The 21324-nt window shown below is 42.4% G+C and overlaps 1 protein-coding gene and 1 long non-coding RNA gene across 2 annotated transcripts in view; both read left to right on the top strand.

The window, feature by feature from the left end:
- Positions 1-21324, top strand: part of CFAP61 (cilia and flagella associated protein 61) — a 308167-nt gene that overhangs the window by 169895 nt on the left and 116948 nt on the right. The window contains exon 18 of the mRNA NM_015585.4: positions 5823-5950. Within this exon, the coding sequence (NP_056400.3) occupies positions 5823-5950 (128 nt within the window). The remainder of the gene's footprint in view (positions 1-5822; positions 5951-21324) is intronic.
- Positions 9520-11338, top strand: LOC105372554 (uncharacterized). Its single transcript, XR_937310.3, has 2 exons — positions 9520-10077; positions 10332-11338. It is a non-coding gene; the product is annotated as an uncharacterized LOC105372554 (long non-coding RNA).

Raw genomic sequence — 21324 nt, forward strand, 5'->3', positions numbered from 1 at the left:
AAAAAGCCAGTGTCCTAGAATCACCGTTACCCTCAGTGGATACCACAGACACAACAGTTTACACTTTTTCCGAAGTGCTGGAGCTACCAAATTGTTCTGAGCTTCCCAGTACCCCCAACCGAGAGGAAAGTTAAGTGAATCCTTCATAAAGCAAGTCTCAAAACCACAGCATGACCTCAACAGACTTATGCTCTGCGGGACAGAGGTGTTGGTATTCATATCATACTTTTGAAACTTTTTAATTATTTTAGTAGAAAGGCTTTTTGAATTGCATTTTATGCCTGTGGAAGAGATTCCAACTGATTGGTTCTATTTAAAATGTCTATACCCCCCTACCCTTTATTTATTTGTAATATTGCAATACTTTGCCTCAAAGAGGTCAACTTGAACTTTGAGCCGCACCACTGTAAATCTGTCATAATTTGTTTTGCTCAAATTGGGAAAACGAGAGTTTCTCAAGGAGAAAAGAGAGATAGAGAAGCATCAGAAAAATTACATTTATAAAGCAAAAGTAGGCTTATTACGGATTTCAGAAATTTTATTCCTAATGGGTTTGAATCTTTCCATCTTTCATTTCCTTGTATGGACAGAGCTCCCTTTGAAGTGTTTGGAAGCTTTCTGTAAGAAAAGATATATATACACATGGGTGTGAGCTGAAAATTGAGCTCATTGTTTTGCCCTTTTCAAACGTGTTTTTCAAAGATTTGCCTTTCATATTGCAGATGGGAGAGAGGATCTGCAATTTTACCTTGTGTAACATCTTTGCCTGAAAAGCTCAAAGTATTTGCAGACATTTTTAAAAGACTGGTTCCCATGTTTGCCTGCTGAGGAAAGCAGAGGTTCATGTAATTTACTACCATTTTATACCCGAGGAAACTGATATTTAGGAAAAAGAGGCTCAGAATTTCAACCAGTGGCAAAATTAAGAAAACAAGCCTAAACCTTGCCACCAAGCTAATGACACCCAGGCTAATGATCCCAAAGGTTGAATGTAACCTCCAAAAGAAATGCTATAATAAGAAAAAATTCACCATAGATAGACAGCATCATGATCCATTTTAGTATGAACCTTGTATGTATTATGTAGGATCATTTGTATTTATTTTTATTGCTCTCTAGTGTATCAGCCTATTTATTGTTTTAGTAACTCCCGATTTTGAATCTAACATTGAAATTGAGTTTCAGTAATGCTTTTGTAGTCATTCTAATTCATTCTAAGTGCAGAAGAGAAACCAAACCACATGCGGAAACACGGAACTTGGGTCTATGTATATCCAATGAAATTATATTTTGACCAATTTTTTTCTATACACACAGAACAGTTAACAAATGTGCCTAAAACTCAAAACTGTGTATTTCAGTTCTCTTGACAAATGTATCTGAATCATGACATAAACTCAACTGAGTGTGCACATCAACATCATCTTTACTAAAAAGATCAAATTTAATCCTAAGTAGTTATAATTACATCCAGATTATTCATTTGGCCATTTAAGCAAATGGAAATGAACCAACTAAAATAATTTGCAATACAGAAATTATGTCAACACCCTTTAAAAAGGGTCCATGAAACACAAAGTTGATGTATCTATTCTTTTACCACTTACCAAGTGCCCCAAAATGCATGGCAGAAATTGTTCAGCTAAAATACAGCAAATGCTCAAAACGCAAAGACATAGTTCCTGACCTCTAGGAGTTAATAGTCTAGTTGTAGGGTGGCAGGCAACCAAATAAATGGATAAAAGCAACCACAAACTCCTCCAGTAGTGACTCAGCTACTCACATGTACAGTCTTATTTCAGAAGCTCATAGGGAATTATAGGTAAAGAGGTTAAAACATTAACATTTGCTCATTTCTCTTCCCTATTTTCTCATCTCAGCCGGTCTCCCCTCCCATCTGACCTCCGAATCTTCCACATTCCTCCCCGCCCCGCAACCCCCAAGCTCAACTCTAGAATTTCCTAACAGGAGTATCAAATACTATCATTCCTTCCTTTCCTACCTAAGCAATGGAATCTATGGTTTGTATTTTAAAGTCATTATGAGAGTTGACATCAACTTTAAGGAATTTTTTTTTAGCCTTAAAAGGTTAGCTTATACACCATGCTGTATGGTTTGTTTTATCTTGCTGGGTTACTGTTGATCTCTACACTTAAAATCATCCCTTTGTCAAGAATCACTTGAAACCGGGAGGCGGAGGTTGCAGTAGCTGAGATCGCGCCATTGCACTCCAGCCTGGGCAACAAGAGTAAAACTCCATCTCGAAAAACAAATAATAATAATAATCTCTTTGTCTAAAATGCTAACCTAATGCCATTAGAAAAATAGAAATGTCTTGAAAGGATGTGGAGGTAAGAATTGGATTTCCCATCCATATTATTCTTGGTATGGTAGGTAGGTAAATAGCTTACAATTCGCCCTGTTTAATCTTTGAAATAATTTTCCATTATGAGGATCATTTAATTCTGTCTATAAAATGTGAGTCAAGAACTAGGGCTTTTATTTTTACTTTCTATGAAGGAAATAAGACCCAAAACAGAATCTCCAATGCATGGGACATTTTTTGGCAGATGTTCAGAGGGAGAAAAGGAAAAGCTGGCTTGACTCATAGGATCTTGCATGTCTGTTTTTCTTTCCCATGAAAACTTGTAGTTTGAAGGAACATAAAGGAAGAAAATATTCTGCTTTCATTAAAAAATAACCTGTGCTTCCTGCTTCTGTGCAAAATAAACCCTTCATAAAGCAGCAGAAGCCATCTTCATTTACAGTTGTCACTGAAGGATGTTTCCAGGCTGGGAAGAATTTTTTTCAAGGCATTTAAAAACCGTCTGTACTAATAAAAGAAAAACACGATTTTTTCAGGTCAGAAGACTTCATCATACCTGGCGATGGATATGTTTTTAATTAAAACCTGGGCACAAAATTGGGTTGACTGTGAATCATTGTGATGCCTGATCACTCTCCTGAGACACCCACCATCATTGGTACTGGTTGCCTGCTCTTGACACCGGAGGCCACTTTGTGTACTTAGCAGTTAGAAAGGTGATGTGTGAGGCCCGGCAGCTGTTGGTGTTACAGCTATTGTGTGGGAAACAAAAGCCATTCTGTTCTGTTCCCCAGCCTGCCTTTGTATCACGGATAGAGGAGCTGTTTCATAAATGAGGTATAATTCTTTACTGGAGAATTTCATTACTGCCCATGTTTCAATGTTAGCTTACACTTCCAACAGCAGAGGGGAATGTCTGAACATATCTCCTTTTGAAAAGAATCTTGGCTTCTGACCTCTGTCAAGATGCTTGCATTTTAAATCTGTTAACTAGACCTGCGATTAGATGCCATCATTACAACACATATGCTTCCCACCTTCCTTGCTCTAGACCACCCAACCTAAGGCTGGCTAGAGTGTATTTGCTGTCAGCCTGCCTGTCTTGGAAATTAAGCAGAGTACAGTACACACTGGCACCCAGGTGAACCAGTAGGAACTAGATTTCTCGCACAATTCCTCATGGATCTGTGCTAGGAAATTCTCATAGAGCAAATCAGAACTGACGTTTATTTGAAGAACATGCACTTTTTCACCCAAATGGTATATTTATTATTTTCATTTAGAAACTATATCAATCTAGGAAGTTTTCAGTAGCATATAAAAAACAAACTGGCCTAAACAATCAAGGAAGTGCAGTGGGCTGTGTGGTTCTTCCCAGCCTTCATCCCTCCCTGGGCTGTGTCATTTGCTGTGTGATTTTGAGGTTCCTCCTTCTAAAGGTGAGTATATTTCCCTAACTCATGGATGTTAGGCTCAGCTACATGACTTGCTTTGGCCAGATTTTAAAAGTATTCCTATTTTCACTTACCTTTCACTTTTCTGCCATTGCCGTGAGAAGAACATGCTCTGGCTCTCTTGCATCAAATAAGAGAAATGTGAGGCAGGTTTGGAATCTGCAAATTGGAGCCAGACCCACCTGAGTCCAACCTAGATCAGCCTACTTCCAGCTGACCTAGAATTGCATGAGCCAGAATAAGTGACAGTTGTTTTAAGCCAATGCATTTTGAAGTGGTTTCACAGCCCTATTGTGGCAATATCTGACTGATATGTATTGCTTATATAACTGAAGAGTCCAAAGGTAGTATGGGTTTCGGGTAGGGTTTGAAAAGAATTCCTGTTCTATTTCTGTGTGATTCTCTTGGGGCTTCAACCTGGGATGGTTTCCCTCTTGGCATGATGACCATAGCCATTTCAGGTTTCACGTTTACACCACGTGCCATCTAGAAAACAAGAAGGCTTCTCTTCTTCAACTATCATGCAAAAGTCCTGGGCTTCACTCTGATGAGGTCAACTTAGGTCACATGTGTATCCTGACCCAGTCACTGAGGAAAGAGAGTGGGAGTATGCCACGTGGTTTACGTGAATCAGAGTCCCTCTTGAAAATGGGAGTGAGTCCAATCTCTTCCGAAATCTGTGTTGTGCCAAATTAAAGGTGGGAGTTGTAGGGTGGAACAGATGTTGAGAGGTACAAGCAATGTTAATTATGGAGTCTGAATCTCCCACTTTTGTTTTAAATTTCTATCAATATATTGTTTGGCTCAAGCCATTTTCCTTCCTCCATGTTGCTAGGCTATCTAGAGACAGAGAAATGGGATTTAAGCTCTAGATCTGAGATGTTACCTTTAAATGGCAAAGCGCATGGCCACACCCATACCCCTACAGTACTGGAAAGTGGGTGGGAACCCAAATAAGACTTTACCATTATTCTGTCAGACTTCCAACTCCTGGTATCCCAGGGTTTTAAGAAAATCCAAAGCAGGTTTGACCTATCAGAATGCGGAGATTTCTGATGTAGAGGATGAAGTTAATGCTGATGTAATTAACAGCATGGGATGAGGTGATAAGAATATCTTTCCACTGACTTCTGGTCACCATTGTTTCCAATGAGAAGTCAGCTGTAATCTTTGTCACTGTCCAGACACATAGTAAGCACCAAAAAATGTGTGTTGAATCAATGGATTAAAAATAGAACCAAGATCTTTTGGCACATATCCCAATGTTCTTCCAAGACTACTCTATCACTTCTTTGTAAAACTTTACTTTGCACATTTAATGTACCCCTTGCAGCTTCTGCAGGGAAGTAAATGAAATCAATGACTAATTCAGGTAATTTTTGTAAACATGGACATTAACATGATCACCAGTTACTTTCTGTGCTTCTGAGAGGCCTCCTGACTCTGAAGTATCTGAAAGGTTGAACAACCCTAATAATTGAATGCATTTTTGCCATTTAATAAATGTTTGCCATTTTACAAATATTATTGAGCATCTACTGTCCACAAGACACCGCGTTAAGTAACGTGAGGGACAGAGAATTGAACATGAGCTAAAACTTGTCTTCAAGTACCCAACTAATATAATTTGTCACTCAAGGTTTCAGGGAAACTGTGGACAGAAGAAAAGACTTGGGACCTTTCATGGAACTACAGATTCTCAGGGAGTAGCTTGCCTGTCTCCTTGTAGTGTTACTTACTAGTTGTCTCTAATCATTAAGGATCTCAGTTCTGTATGAAACATCTGTCAGCATTAAGACAACATCTTGAAAACCAGCATTTTGATGTGACCTAGCTGGGATGTCAGGCATATCCACATGTTCTTACATTAATTTCTTAAAAACATCTTCCCATGCATTTTATGGTGGCTGTACATGGGCACTATTAGGTTTGTTTTGGTGGTAATGTCCTGGTTAGATAATTCTACATAGTTGCAAATTTGAGGGTATGAACACTGCTACGTTTTCTTTGACTCCTTCTTTGTCTTCGTATTTTTTTTCCAGATGAGTTATGCTTTAAACCATACAAACAGAAAACTAACATTGGAACCTAAAATTACTGTCAATGCCAAGATCATTGTGGTTGGTGCATCCAGTGTTGGAATTTCCTTCCTAGAGACATTGGTATTTTGGTGAGTTGTTTCACTCTATTGATTGATTGGTTTTTAAATAATAAAAATTATCTTCCTACATCTGAAGAGAACACCATCAGAGAACAGACCTGAGATTGTTTGGTACTCCACACACCCTGCCTATGTGGATGGATGAATCAGTAGAAGAATATTCTAGATCAGGGGTTAGCAAACTATAGCCCTGAGGCCAGGCCTGGCTTGCCAACTGCTTTTGTAAATAAAGCTTTATTGGAACACAGCCACACTCATTTATGTGTTGTCTGTGGCCATTTTTGTGCTACAATAGCAGATTAGATGGCAGACTCCTCTGCTGAGTAGTTGGAACAGAGACCATATGGCCTTCAGTGCCTAAAATATGTACAGTCTCACCCTTCCCAGAAACAGCCTACTGACCCCTTTTCTAAAGGAATGTTTTCCTTACTGGCCCGATCACAAAAACCACCTGCAGCATTTGTTAAAGATGTAGATTCCAAGATCCTGCACCCAACTTACAGAATCTGGACTCCTGGGGAATGGTCTAGGAATCTGTATGTCAATAGACACTCCACATAATCAGGCAGGTTTGGCAATGAGTTTTGACTTCATACATTACAAATACACTTTCAGAAATGGCATGTGGGCCAGGACCTTTCTTCCAGCCCTTGAATTTTGGATCCCCTGGAACAGGTAAAACCCTTCAGGGAATATGGAGGCCTGTGCATCTCTTCTGATGCTGTTTTCTCATCCCCCTCAAAGCACTAAACAAGGTTTCCTTTCAGAGCCCATTTTTCTGATGGGTGATGCTCAGGGATTTCCAGCATCCCCAGTCTCTCTCTCCATGTGCTCACTTGAGCACCTCTTTAATAGAAAACACCCTGGATTAGGGTCTGAGAGCTCGGGATCATGGCCTGGCATCATCAGCACCTAACATGGAGCCCTCAGTGTATTGTCTAGCTTCTCTCAAACTCGCTATCTTCATTTATTTTTTAAAAAGTTTCATAGATGTTTTAAAACCCTGACTTTGGGAACCACAGAACCCTGAATTAAGAGTCCAGTTTTTCCAAATCTTTTGCTCAGGATCACATGAAAAACTTTAGCTACCATTCAAAACTACAGGTGCTGAGAGGTAAGCAGGAGATGGGAAAATGCAGCCTACCATCACTCTTCTGGAAGCCAGCAGAGTTCTTAGCTCAGGACAGGTGGGGCCTTGTGAAGGGCTGGGTAAGCAAATGGATGGAGGAAATGACCCTCAAAAGGTGTATGTGCCTGGTTAACGTGGAGACGAGCTAATCCCAAGTGGTTATTTTGCTCATTTAACATCACATTAACCAGATAAAAAAAGAATTGATTTTTTCACTTTCTAGCCAGTTTGTTCAGTTCTCCAGAACATACTCTTAGGTAACTAGAAATAAATTATGAGTCATTACTGAAGTTAGTAACAGAGTTCATGTGCTTTGAATAATGTGGTCAGTCTGCAGCAATATTTCACTGCAAGCATGAAATGATGAGAAGCACCTAGGAATATTCCATTCCCAGGGTATGCCACGTTATAGTCTGAGTGCTTTACTTGTTCTGATGGGTCTCTTCCTCGAAAACTTTTGAACAGCAAGTTTTATGCAACCATTTTCGAATGATGAATTATTAAGGTGGAGCTGTGAAATTATAGCAGTTAAGAAGTTATAAACAGGTCTTAAATCTTAATTCAGCTATATACTTAGTCATAATGTTTTATTTAAATGATTACATTGAGACATATACAAGTAATTTTCTTTTTGTGGAGTCAACTTAGATCTAATAAAGACAAGTATAAATTTTGATGTAAGTATTGGGTCGATTAAATTTCCCAATCAAACAGAGCTTTTTAAAGCATTCTAAAATACTCATAATTCTCTATCATCATTACACAGATTACGTACACTAAAAATAGACTGGTATCAGTTTACAGATCTCTAATCCTTAAGAGAGGAAATAGTTTTCTCATTATTTTCTCTAATTATTTTAAGTCAGCAATCACCATGGTAACCTACTGCGTATTTTACTTTCCCAGTTTAACTGCCATTTGAACTTAATTTTATACATGATTTGAGCTGAAATGAAGAAATACAGTTTTCACCCAACACTGACCACCAATGAGGATTGAATCTACATTTTGGAAGCAAAATTTAGGAGAATCAGCCTCCTTGTAGTCTTTTTTGGTTTGTTTTTGTTTTTGTTTTGAGACAGAGTCTCACTCTGTTGCCCAGGCTGGAGTGTATGGAGCAATCTCGGTTCACTACAACCTCCGCCTCCCCCCAGGTTCAAGCGATTCTCTTGCCTCAGCCTCCCAAGTAGCTGGTACTACAGGTGCAAGCCACCATGCCCGACTCATTTTTGTATTTTCAGTAGAGATTGGGTTTCACCATGTTGGCCGGGCTGGTCTCGAACTCCTGGCCTCAAGTGACCTGCCCGCCTTGGCCTCCCAAAGTGCTAGGATTACGGGCAGGGGCCACAGCGCCCTGCTGCCTCCTTGTAGTCTTGAGCTGCATTGTCAGACTCAGCAGGGGCATCATCATTCCTGGAAAATCCACTCGAGGCTCAGGACAGTAACCTCTTTCTCCAGAAAATCTGGTAATTCTGTCATCTGACAACAAAACAAACACAACTTTGTTCTTGTATTATTTCCATGCAAGAAATTATAAAACACATTTGGTCTCCTCTTCAAAGGACACCAAAAGCAGTTTGTGTAAATTCCTATCCTTTCTTCCCCAAGTGCTGAGGTGCTACTGGGAGAGCTGAAGTGCTTTGCCCAAACTCACTCCCTGATATTCCCTAGGATGTAAGCTCCATGTGATGAGGCAATACTGTGGTGGTGTTCTGACTTTTTATTTTTTTAAGTATGCTATTTTATCTGCTAGCTGTGTGCAGTTAATCTGCACAGACACATCTCCTTGTCTGTGGTTGTCAGGCCTGAGTCCTGCGTCTTGTCCTTCCTAGGAGGAGCCTGTTGGGCCCTCCAGCACCGGGAGACATGCATGGCAGGCATTTTCCTGGGGTGTCCCAGGATCCCAGTCTTTTACTTCCCCTGCTGTCCTCCGTGCCCTCCTGCTCCTGGCCCTGGTGATCCCCAGCAGAGCCGAGGAGCCAGTGGCCCTGCTCTCAGAGGCTTCTACAGTCTCCCTCAGCCCTGCGGGAGACCTCCAGGGGTGGAGATGGGCAGGGGCGTAGCGTCATCCAGGGTGGGGTGGGCTCAGCTAATTGGTTCCCTCCCCCCTTGTCTGGTGCACTTGGCCTCTGAGGGGAGCCCAGGAGGAAAGGACCCAGCCTTCTTTCCTGTCACCTGCCCAGCCAGCGCAGGAGCATGCGTGTTTGTGGCAAGGATCAGGAGCTGGGCAGGGCAAGGCTAGGGCTGTGGGGTGGTGCTCTTGCATTGCAGGGCATTGAGGAAGAAAACACCAGCTTGTACTATGGGGTAGAGGGCCGTGAATTGGAGGGGAAAGAACAGATCTTAAGACTGTGTGTTCTTCATAATGCCCAAGACATTTAAGTGATAGATTTGGATTATTTTTAAATGACTGTTCTTGTGATTGGTGGGTTGTGTTCATTTGGCCACCCCGTTCTTTGGGACTGAAAGTTCCTGGCTCGGACACTATGATGTCACATGTGCATTTTCCTTCTCGGTGCTTCCATTAATAAGACTATTTAAAACCTCCAACCACTGGAGAAAGCAGAAAGAGCTTGGCCTCAGCCGTTAGCCCACCTCTGCTGCCAAGCAGTGTTGCAGCCCTGAGGGAGGAACTGTCCTCATCTGTGCTGAAGGAGAGTCCCAGCAGGGGCCCCCAGGTCCTGCCAGCCTGAAGGCGCCACCACGGTAGAAACTCCACAAACCCTCTCAGGGTGAGATCTGTAAAGTGAACTCACTATAAAGTGAACTCCCACCAAGTCTAGCATTGCTGAACTCCTCAACTGCAGTGCTTTGACTCTTTCAGGTTTCCACAAAGATATTCCAGAATCCTTTTTTTTTAATTATATAAATGCTATAGCAAAATAGAAAAAAAAAAGAAGAAGAAGAAGAAGAGAAGGAGCCGGAACCAGGTGTATGCACCTCTCTTCTGTTTCTGCATCCTTTCACTCCTGGTGTGGCGCGTGGACCAGCAGCATTGATATCACCTGTGAGTTCGTTAGAAATGCACAACCTCAGGCCCTGCCCCAGTGTCCCAAACAGGTTTTTTTCCAGAATTATGCAGAACAGCATCTTGACTGTCTCCTGGGCCTGCGTTCATAGAGCTGAGGCAGTTGCTGTCCCCTTCTGTTTCAGCACGAGTCTCTATGCTTCAGTGTTTTATAGTATTTACTCCTAATTATGGGAAAGTTCCTTTTTAATCCATTATTTTTAACTCTTTCCTAATTTAATCCCGACGTAAAGAATCTTTTGAAGAGCCTGTAATGGCACTAGAAAAATGCTTACTGGAGTCATGGATGACAGTGACTGAAAGCAGCCCAGCTGGTGTCCCCGCGACCCTCCGTGTGACTAGAGAGAAACACTGATTCATAGGAAGCACCGGTGGGCACTGGAAAGCCCGGGTTCCCCTTGTCTTCCACTTCCACCACTCAGAAGAGTTTTCTCGAAAACTGACCAAATCATCCAGCAAAAGATGCAGCCTCAGACTTTCAGCCTAGACACTGATCCCCTCATCTGGTTGAATGTGTCGAGGTAACTAAGAATAGCTTGGACCAAGCAGGGCATGTTTCTAAAGCTGCAATTGTGGCAATGACCACAACTCCTGTTATCGGGCCGTGCAGTTCCGCACAATATCCGGCACAGCTGTGGGCTCTGGCAGCAGCCAGCCTAGCGCTGGCGGCTTAATTAGGCTTTTTATCTTTACATTTGTCTGAGGACATCTGAAACCTTCAGTGTGGCCTGTCACTAATTAGGTGACTAATTAAATAGTCAGTGCTTCCTTGCTGATCTCAGAGCTCAACCGCAATGGACAGGTTTGTGATTGTGACTCCCCGTCCTGTCGGTCTCTGCACGTGTGCGCCTCGCAATTGCCCTGTTCATTGCGCTGTGCAAAAACGGCATGGGAGCGAGGCCCAGGGCATGTGCAGGGCCGTCCTCCGATGTGCCCAAGCAGCAGGCAGCACGGACATCCACAGGGGGGCATATGGGAGATGGACATCCACAGGGCATACGGGACATCAGTTCTGGTGCAGAGGCTGGTCTGGTGGCCAGAGCAGAGGGGACGGTGGAAGGAGCTTTACCTGCCAGGCTCAGAGTCTCAGTCTCCCCAGGCAGCAAGAGTTGACATTCTGCCACCAGAGAATAAGGATCCAGAACTCACCCTGGTGTCACTAATCACAATGGGGTTTCCTATTCGACTCCAATATTTAAATGTAATTAATGTTAAATAAAAGCACCTTCATTTACTGAAATTATTCACCCCTGCTCGTTTCAGTATAACTTATCTCCTCATACCCACATTAGAGACTCCCAGAACAAAAGCAAAGCAATCCACTTTGAGCAACATTAGGCCTTTTCGACGGGGGAAGATCAGCTTATTGTCCTTTTTTTGTGGGTGCTTTGTGATTCTTTGGCATTAAAGGTAAGTAGGAAATGCATTTTTCATGATCACACAAAGCACAAACCATGTACCCGGATCTGAGTCGTACACCCGCCTCCTCAGTCTTCATCATTTGTTATTGGATGATTTTCAAATAATGACATTGGTACCTGTCTTGGTTTGCATTCTTTCAAACCAAGCTGAAAACAAAGCATTTGGATACAAGTAGTTTATTTGGGAGTGATCCTAGGGAACTGCCTGAGAGCAGGGCCGTGTGACAGGGAAGTGAGGATAGCCACAAAGCCAAAAGACACCCTTGTCAGTGGGTCCCCACTGTGGACATCTGAGGTCAGAGAATGGCCGTGGGCAGAGAGAGGCAGACAGGAGACCCCTTGCAGGTGAGCAGGTGGGTCAGGGTGAGGTGAGTAGGCCCCAGCACTATCTCTGGAGTGCCCTTATGGTCCCTTAGTTTGCTTAGTTTGTTCTGTTCTTCCTTGTTAATATTCTTGAAGTTGCCTTTTACTGAAACTTTGGCATAGACGATGATGGAGAAGAAGCAAGGGTTAGGTAAGAAGGCTGTGGGGAGAGGATTTTGTGGGTTTCTTGCAGTTCTGAAGAGGACACAGGTGTACTATCAGAAAGTTTTGCTGGAAAAGAGATGGCATTTAAGGACCTTGTCTTAGCAAATACTTTATTTCTACTTTGGGATGGAGATAAGGTTAGAATCAGTAGTTTTCGAAACATAGTCTGTGGCCCAGCACCATCAGCATTACCTGGGAAGCTGTCAGAGGTGGGGATACTTAGGCCCCACTCTCCAGGGACTGAATCTGAAACCTGGGGGTAGGGCCAGGCTCTGCTTTCCCAGCCCTCCAGGGAAGGCGGCAGGTCAAGGAAGTCAGAAGCGACGGTGGAGTGGAGAGGGCCCAGGAGAGTGATTCCAAAACGCAGAACTTCAGTCTCCTCACCTGTGCTGCAGGGAAGGCACCCAGAATCCCTCCTCACACACCAGCCTGAGCATACAGTCAGGTAGCAAATGTCAAGCATCTGTCCAAAGGCCTAGTGCTGACACTTGTTAGACGGACACCTCCCCACTAATTAAATTTGCATGTCTAGATCCCCATGGAAGCCTGCATTGACTTTCAAAGGCGGGAAGTGGCTGGGGAGCTGGAGTCTCCTCCACGTGGAGGATGCCCTCTTCCCCGAGGACTGGGGGAGCCGGAGGTGCTTCCCACCCGCAGCTGCATCTGACTCCTGGTGAGACGTTCCCTGGAGTCTGCAGAACATCCTCCTAAGAGACTCATGTCTCTCAGATATTTAATGGGATCATAAACTTCCTTCATAGAAACTTACATTAAACTCTCCCCTCCTTTCTTGAGACTCCCAAACTCTCAGGAGCCTCTCAGTTTTCTCTCCTCCTTGAACAGAGGCTCTCAAAGTGCCGTCCCTGGCCCAGCAGTATGGACATCACTTGGGAACTGTTAGAAATGCAGATTTTCAGGCCCCACCCAGACCTCCTGCATCAGAAACACTCTGGGAATCAGGCCCAGCAATGTGTGTCTTCACGAGACCTGCAGGGACACACTCGGCCAATGCCACCAGGCCGATGTGGTGTTTACCCTTCCTGCACCATCCTCCCATCCCCACTTTTCTCATGGGCAGCCTCACTCCCAAAAAAGCAAAGGCATCATACACCCTCAGCTGTGCACCCTTTCCCACTTCCTCAGCTCTGCACCTGCCAGCCACTTTATTTCCTCCCTGCGGAGGGAGGATTAGGGCCATAATTCTTTTATCTTGGCGCACATAAAATGATGCACAAGAGGATTGAGGGAATAAGGACATATCAAACTGCCCCCCAACTTACAGCATTTGATGTTGGGTGGAAATTTGGAAGGGAAGCCCAGAAACAGCCCCGCCTGAAAACACAGGCATGAGGGCCCTCCAGTAGAGGTGACAGGTGGTCCTCGTTGCTGGGGAGTGGGAAGACCGTGAGCCTCTGTGTGAGACCCAGAGCAGGCAAAGCCATCTATGCAGCAGATGGCTTCTGGAGACCAGGTTTCTCTCTAAGTGTACTTCTCTGAAGATAATGCCTTTCAAACAGATAATCCAACACTTACCAGTATAGTAAGACATAGGCTTGAAAAAAATGGTTTGAATTCTCCTTTTTATTTTAAGAACTTGTGGTGGAGGAAAATGTTGTGAATCACCTTTTGAGATTTTAGGGTTAATATTAAGTAACTGTTTCTATAAGCAACAGATTGCAAAAGTTCCAGGCTCTACAATTCTGCACATCACAGCCACTTGGATAGGGATGGGGAGGGTTGTACAAATACAGTGTCCTGGGACCCTGTTCCTGGAGTTACAATTCAGTAGGCCTGGGGTGGGTTTCAGGAATATGTACAGTATTTTTAATAGAATCCCCAGGTAATTCCAACATGCAGGTGGGTTTAGGAGCCATTTTTATAGACATTTGCTCAAAATTGGCAGTCTCATCTATAAGGAAACCTATTTCCCCCTGTAATTGCTCATTGTAACTAACTCATTTTTATGGGCTTGTTTTCCAAACCACATTTTCTAATTCTTAGTGAATCATATAACTTCTAAGTCACATCATTACTTTGGGGCTTACCAGGCCTAATTTTTAAGTTATTATTAACATTATATAGCTGAACCCATATTCATAGTATTAACATGCTAAATTGGACCTAGCAGAAAGCATTTCACGAAGTCTCATGCTTAAACTATCACCATTAAGAAGGAAGGCCCAAGAAAAAACCTGCCCATGTGGTGTTATTAAAGCCTTGCTAATAGCCAGCATTTGCCCAAAACACAAAGCTCTTCTTCATCCTCCCCAACCAGAAGTGATCCCACTGGATTTTGAATTCCCATAATGTTCCATGATTCCATCCTTAAGGAACAAATTGATTTGTGTCTTGTATTTTGCCATCTCTCATGTGCAAGGGCTTTCTGGCTTGTCTTTGATAGCTACCATCTTGGTATTTACATCTGGTATGTGCTCAGTATATATAAACATATGCTTAAAGTATAAATGTATAATGTTTTTACTTCCTAGACATAGATAAAAACATCATTAATCATTTCCCCTAAATTATAAAGGAAAGCTCAATTTCATTTTCATCTGTTTTGCCAGAACTCCCAAATTTTATTCTTATCTTTTCAATTGACATTTCAAGAATGGCATGCATTTTCATTTTTTCAGTAAGGATTTATGTGTTTATTTTGTGATACATAAGTTTTTTATCTGAGATCCTGAACTTCTACCTAGCCCCTTATCCTGGCCACCATGCCCCTCCCCTGCCAGGTCCCCGAGGACTCCAGAGAGCACCCAGGGCCCTCCAGGCAGACACTTCTACCTTAGTGTCGGGTCCAGGGTTGAGTCACACCCAGACTCAGGGTACCTTACGAGACTTGCTCCTTGCCCCGTTTCTCCAGGTCGCATCCTCATTCCTACAGGAGCTCCAGGACCAGGGAGCTCTGAGCCACCCAAGGTGGAGCTGGGCAAGATGGCACCCAAGAGAAGAGAGAAGTAGGGTCAGGGAGAGAGCTTGTAACCTCTGTCTCACCCCACGAACTGCCCACTCCCTTCTAGATGTGTTCAGAATCCTCCATCCCACACCTCCTCTGTGGATCTCTCTCTTCGGTCTCCCCCTGGAGGTCAGAGTGTGTCATGACCAACAACTTTGTGGCCATGGATGCAGCTGCCGTTTAATTTTTACTAACAACAAAAATGGATTGAGTACTATTAACACACTCGAACAAATACCCCATAACTCCTTAATATCATCTAATACCAGTCCGTGCTCAGTTTTCCCAGTGGTCTTAAAATTGTTCTTTTACAGTTAGTTGGTTTGGATAAGGATGCAAACCAGGTCCAACTACTGCATTTGGTTAATGTGCCCCTGAAATCTCTTTAATACTTAACAGTTTCCTGCACCTTCCCCGTTTTCTGAAATTCATTTTCTTGTTAGGTTCTTGCATGTTAGAGAATTTAAGATGAAATAATACAATGTGTGGTGTTTACTCCAACCACTACAGTGTTGGTGAGTATTTTCAAAGCAGCACAATATTAGTCATTGCTAAGCTTTTTTCACCTCGTGTATATTTAAAATCCTCCAAAATAAAAATTTTTTTAAAATAAACAAATTAAATTAATGGCTCAGGACCTTGTCCAAAAGTCTCTTATGATTTAAACAGAAAAAAATATTGCTAAAGAAAGTTAAATTTTTTTCAGGGAAAAACTGGTAGATTCTCTTACTCTGCTGTGTACTTAACAATAAATATTTTGTGTGGATTTGTTTTGCCTCTGATATTGGAAGTTCACAGAGCTCCCAACTTCTAAACTCCACCTATAGTATTTTATGGCATGTGTTGTTGTTAAGACTGAATTAAATCTGAGTTATTTTTTAACTAGTAGAATATGTAGATAGGTTAAATATCTATCACGAGCTAGGATTTATTTTCATTGGCAAATATTTTTGTCACTGTTTTGAACCATTCAGAAAGCAGAGGTTTTAGTAAATTAAATTGAAACATTTAGATCGATGTGGGATAATAATTTTTTCTCTACATTATCTATTTGTTCAAATAACAGCATTAATTAAAGCAGTTAATTAAATCACTTGCTTTGGTTGCGTTTGCTATGCCTGCACCCTGCAGACACGCACAGCACACACAAAATCAGCTAGAAAATAACTAGCGATCGCCTAGCAGGCCGACATGTATCTACTGCCCAGAAGGGTAAGCACCATGAAAAGTTTTATGTTTCTTTTATCATGTTCACAATAAATGGGCAATGTGACCCTCTTTATTTGAAGGATAAGGATGTTTAGACCTAATTTTGTAGCTGTCCTCCTGAAGCATGGAATGAAACACAATACCTTTTACTTATTTCCCTGGATACCCTAATCCCTCCCTGCTTTACAAGTATCTTTGAGCTGTTCCTCCCTTTGTATCCACAGCAACGTGAAATCCCCACTGGAATTATTTGCTGTGAAAATGCAGGTGCCCTTGTTTAATGTTTCATTGGCTTGAGCACTTAACTTGAAACTTTTTTTTTTTTTCATGATATGGTGACCTTTGATTTTGGAGCTGAGGGCTCACGGTGATGTTAGATATTGTTTATATACATTAAGCCAACACCATTAGATCTGAGCTTTATCTGTGGTTCTGCTGTTCCTGCCATTTCATCAAATGCATGCCCAAATGCAAGCTGTACTCCGTGACCCACTGTTCTATTTGAAGGAACTTTTTGAATATTCATAGGCAATCAAATTAAAAATCAGTCTATTAGACTTATGTATTATAAACTTCATGACTTTAGACCAATACTCTTACATAGTTATAGATTTAAGAAATTAAATATTTAGACACTGCTAAATCGGATTATAGAGAGAACCATCACAGCAAAAATATGAGGTTGGAGAAAGAAATGAAAATGCTGGTGATATTTTCATATAAAGTCATGAAAGGGCAGGGAACCTTCTCTGAATAGCAAGGAGGTTGATGTTACAAAGAATGTCGGGGAAGTTTGCTTAGGCCCAGCCAGAAGGACCTTTATGCCACACTAGGGAATTTGGGCTGAACAGTTTGGTAATAAAAACACTTACCATTTATTGAAAATGTACTATGCAGAGGCGATATTTTAAGCATTTTACAGACAATGATGCATTTAATCTTCACAGAACTCCTAAGAAGCATTAGGTTCTAGAGCCACAGAGAGGTCAAATAACTTGCAAAGGTCAAAAAGCTAGAAGTGCTAGAGCTGGGAGTGGCACTGAGGCAGTCCGACTTCTGAGACCGGGATCTTAATGAGTCTGATCTGCAGCTACCTTGGTAAAATCTCTACCAAGAACAAAGGTAGGGATTTTAAAACCGGAAACCGTTGAGATTTTATTTAATTTAAAAAGAGGTTTCCAGTAGCTGTGTGGAAGATGGGCAGAAGAGAGAGACTCAAGCCAGAGAGACAAACCCTCTAGACAAGATGGTGAACTAAGGCAGTGTGTTATAGGAGGGGAGGGTTGTGGGGGCATTCAAGAGATGTGGACAAGGTCAAAGTGATTGGACATGGTGGCCAAAGTGTGTAGTGGGAAGGAGCCTGAGACTGGCTGCCAAATTCCTAGCTCTAGAGGTGGTTAGTTGGCCAAAGCTTTGATGGAGATAGAGGAGGAGTGGGATGAGGCGACCAAGAGCTTTGTTTGGGCACATATTAAATTTGACACCCCCCTGGAGCATGCCAGTTAGGGCTGATAGGCATTTAGAAATTAGATTTAGAGCTCAGAAGAATCACTGTAGTATAGTACATTGTAGTAAATGTGCAAGAGGAAGTCCTGGTGGTGGATAACATCACCCAGGGAAATAGGCATGCAGCTTGGGAAGCTTGGCTAGGGAGAAATGGACAAAGGAGGAGGAGCTGGTAAAACAGTCATGAAAGACAGCCTCAAGACAGTGTTGTCCCAGACAGGAGGTTCTGTGGCAACAGCTCCTGGGGGAGGCCTCCTGCATGGCCCCAGCTCTCAGTGTTTCCTCCACCCCTGCTCCTTTAGGCCCAGGATCAGTGATGGCACCCACTGCTGCTAGACCCTGGGTACTCTCCTTCCCTCTTTGTCCCTGTAACCCTGCATACACAGCTGCCTTCATTCAGTAAGACCTTGTGGAGTCCGCCATCTTTTTTTTTTTTGCCTGGATCCTGATTAATAAGGATCTTCTCATATCCCCAGCTCATCCTTCCTCCATGAGTCAATGAAAATAGAGACTTCTAATTGCCTCCCAGTATTCATTCTGCACTTGGTGACAAAACCCTGGGGACTGTGGTTCTTTGAAACATCACTGTGTTTTCTTTGAAAAACTACATTTTCCAGACTCCCTGCTTCTCCCTGGCCATGTCACTGAGTTCTGGCTAGGTAAGCAGAAATGTGGGACTTTCAGGAAGTCTCCTTAATAGGCAGCACTCTCTGCCCATTTCTCCTTCCTCTGCCTGTAATGTGGCTGTGATGGCTGGAGCTCCAGGAGCTACCTTGAACCTGAGGTGACCCTGAAAATGGAAATCACACATGGAGAAGCAGAGAAGCAGGTCATGGGCCCAGCTGCCTAGCTGACTCTGTGGATCCGTCCTATCAGCACGAAACTGGTGATGTCCAGGTGTCTTAAGTATAGTTTTAAGAGAAATTTGCTCTCAGAGGGATTGAGAGAGATCAAAGAGGAACTTGAAGAGAAGATAGGTTTAATGGGGAGACATGTCTCTTCTGACTCAGGGGAATGGAAGAACGCTCTAGACATGGTAAGAAGGAAACATAAAAATGCCTGGTGACCAGTCCCCATTTTCTTTATGACATAGGAGATGTGCTCACCCGAGTATGAGGAAGGGGGATAGTAAGGATAACAAGAGGGGTTACAGTAGAGAACTTGAAGGTTGGAGAAAGGCCCAGAACAGCAACAATGAAGAATGTAAAAAGATTTCAACTTGGGCTAAAGAAAAAGAGTGGAAACCTGTTTTTTAATGTATTAAAATTCAAAAAATGCCTCTATCCCCCAAAAAATCTTTGTACTATATCATTATAGGTTAGGTTTTTTAAAAAACTACTTTGTTGTTTTGGGGAAATTTTAAATTGTACAACAGCATAATTTAGGATAATGCAATGTGGTAGTTTGGTAATTTATAAATCATCTGATCCATGTTGTTCGATAATTCAAATGATTCAAAACCAAATGGACAGTCTTTGTAGTGAAAGATGTAGCTGGATAATTATTAAGCCTTCTACTTACATAGAGATGTAAAAAAGGCCTATATATAACTATTATTGGTGTAACATAAACCACATATCTATCATATAGCACCCAAAGCTGGGGTAAATTTTAACTGCTTGTGAGTATAAACACATTATTATTATTATTATTAGCATTTTTCATTAAATGGTAATAAATAAGAGACAAGTAATCAGTGTGTACTTGCAGACTGTCAGCCATAAGTAGCTGGGTTAATTGTGACCTTTATGTTATTTGAAGATATTAAAATTTTTTATTCTTATTATTAGAGGATAAGATGTGCTCAGTTTTCTTCTTATCAAATAAGAATATTCATTCTTAAATGACACTCATCCTTAGAGACTTTAGAGCAAAACCTCTCATAATATTGAGCTATTTTTAAATGTCAGGTTCAGTTGAGTTTATTGCATTTCTGGCCTGCGCCATCACCAAAAGTCTCCTGCTTTTAGTGCTACTCAACAGATTGTCAGTAAATTGATAGCAGTTCCACATTTGGAACATTTCCAATCTTCTCATGGGAAAGGAGGGCAGGTGTTTCTCTCTGACTTGGTGAAGGCTTCTTTTTTGGCATTTGGTTGATTGAAGGGGAGGTGTGAACTAAGAAGAGATTTTAGAAAAAAAAATCTCATCAGCATGAACCCTATGAAAAGATCAGCTCACCCATGAAATTTTACTGACTTTAACCAGGGGGTGGATTTGCAGCAAGAGCATCTTAAATCCTGATGGGCAAACACGGAGTGAGCCTTGAGCATGTGAGTTCTTCAGAAGTCTCTACTTAGGTGCACTTTACCTGTAGGACTAGTTAGAGGGAGTATTGTGGGTGCCTGGAGCAGGGCGCTGCCTAGGGCCAGCAGGCCTGGCTTTCTTTCATAGCTGGCACTGCTTATGAGCTTTGTAACCTTGAACAAATTACTTACCATTTCCAACCTTGATTTTCTTACCTATGAAATGTGGATCAGAAAAACCGGTCTCTTCCCTATCCCTAGCATAAATTGTGTAGAAGATTAATCTCTATGTGAATGCCTATGAATGTGCCTTGGGCTCTGGAAAGCCTGATGCAAATATAAAGCAGTTTTGCTCTTAAAAAGGAATCCTCTAGAATTTCCTCGCAGATGACACTTTTTGGTATCCTGATTTGAGTAACTGTGTGTATCTGAATGTAATAAAGCTAATGTCAGCCAATGGGAATTAGATGACCTTTGGATCCCTCTGAACAATTTGAGATCTACAGGACAGTACAGGCAGAGGTAAGGTGAGAGGATGCTGGAGCCAGGCATCCTGGGTTCAAACCCTGCCTCCAGACTTACTAGCTATATGGTTGTATTAGTCTGTTCTCACGCTGCTGATAAAGACATACCTGAGACTGGGCCATTTACAAAAGAAAGAGGTTTAATGGACTTACAGTTCCACATGGCTGGGGAGGCCTCACAATCATGGTGGAAGGCAAGGAGGAACAACTCATGTCTTACATGGACGGCAGCAGGCAAAGAGAGAGCTCGTGCAGGGAAATTCCTATTTTTAAAACCATCAGATCTCGTGAGACTAATTCACTATCACAAGAACAGCATGGGAAAGACCTGCTCCCATGATTCAATTACCTCCCAACAGGTCCCTCCCACAACACATGGGAATTATGGGAGCTACAAGATGAGATTTGGGTGGAGACACAGAGCCAAACCATATCATTCTGCCCCTGGCCCCTCCCAAATCTTATGCCTTCACATTTCAAAACCCATCATGCCTTCTCAACAGTCCCCCAAGTCTTTTTTTTTTTCTTTTTTTTGAGATGGAGTTTCACTCTTGTTGCCCAGGCTGGAGTGCAATGGTGTGATCTTGACTCACTGCAACCTCCACCTCCCCAGTTCAAGTGATTCTTCTGCCTCAGCCTGCCAAGTAGCTGGGATTACAGGCATGTGCCACCACACCTGGCTAATTTTGTATTTTTAGTGGAGACAGGGTTTCACCATGTTGGTCAGGCTGGTCTCAAACTCCTGACCTCACGTGATCCACCTGCCTCGGCCTCCCAAAGTGCTGGGATTACAGGTATGAGCCACCATGCCTGGCCCCCCAAAGTCTTAA

This window comes from Homo sapiens, chromosome 20, assembly GCF_000001405.40.
Source record: "Homo sapiens chromosome 20, GRCh38.p14 Primary Assembly".
NCBI lineage: Eukaryota > Metazoa > Chordata > Mammalia > Primates > Hominidae > Homo > Homo sapiens.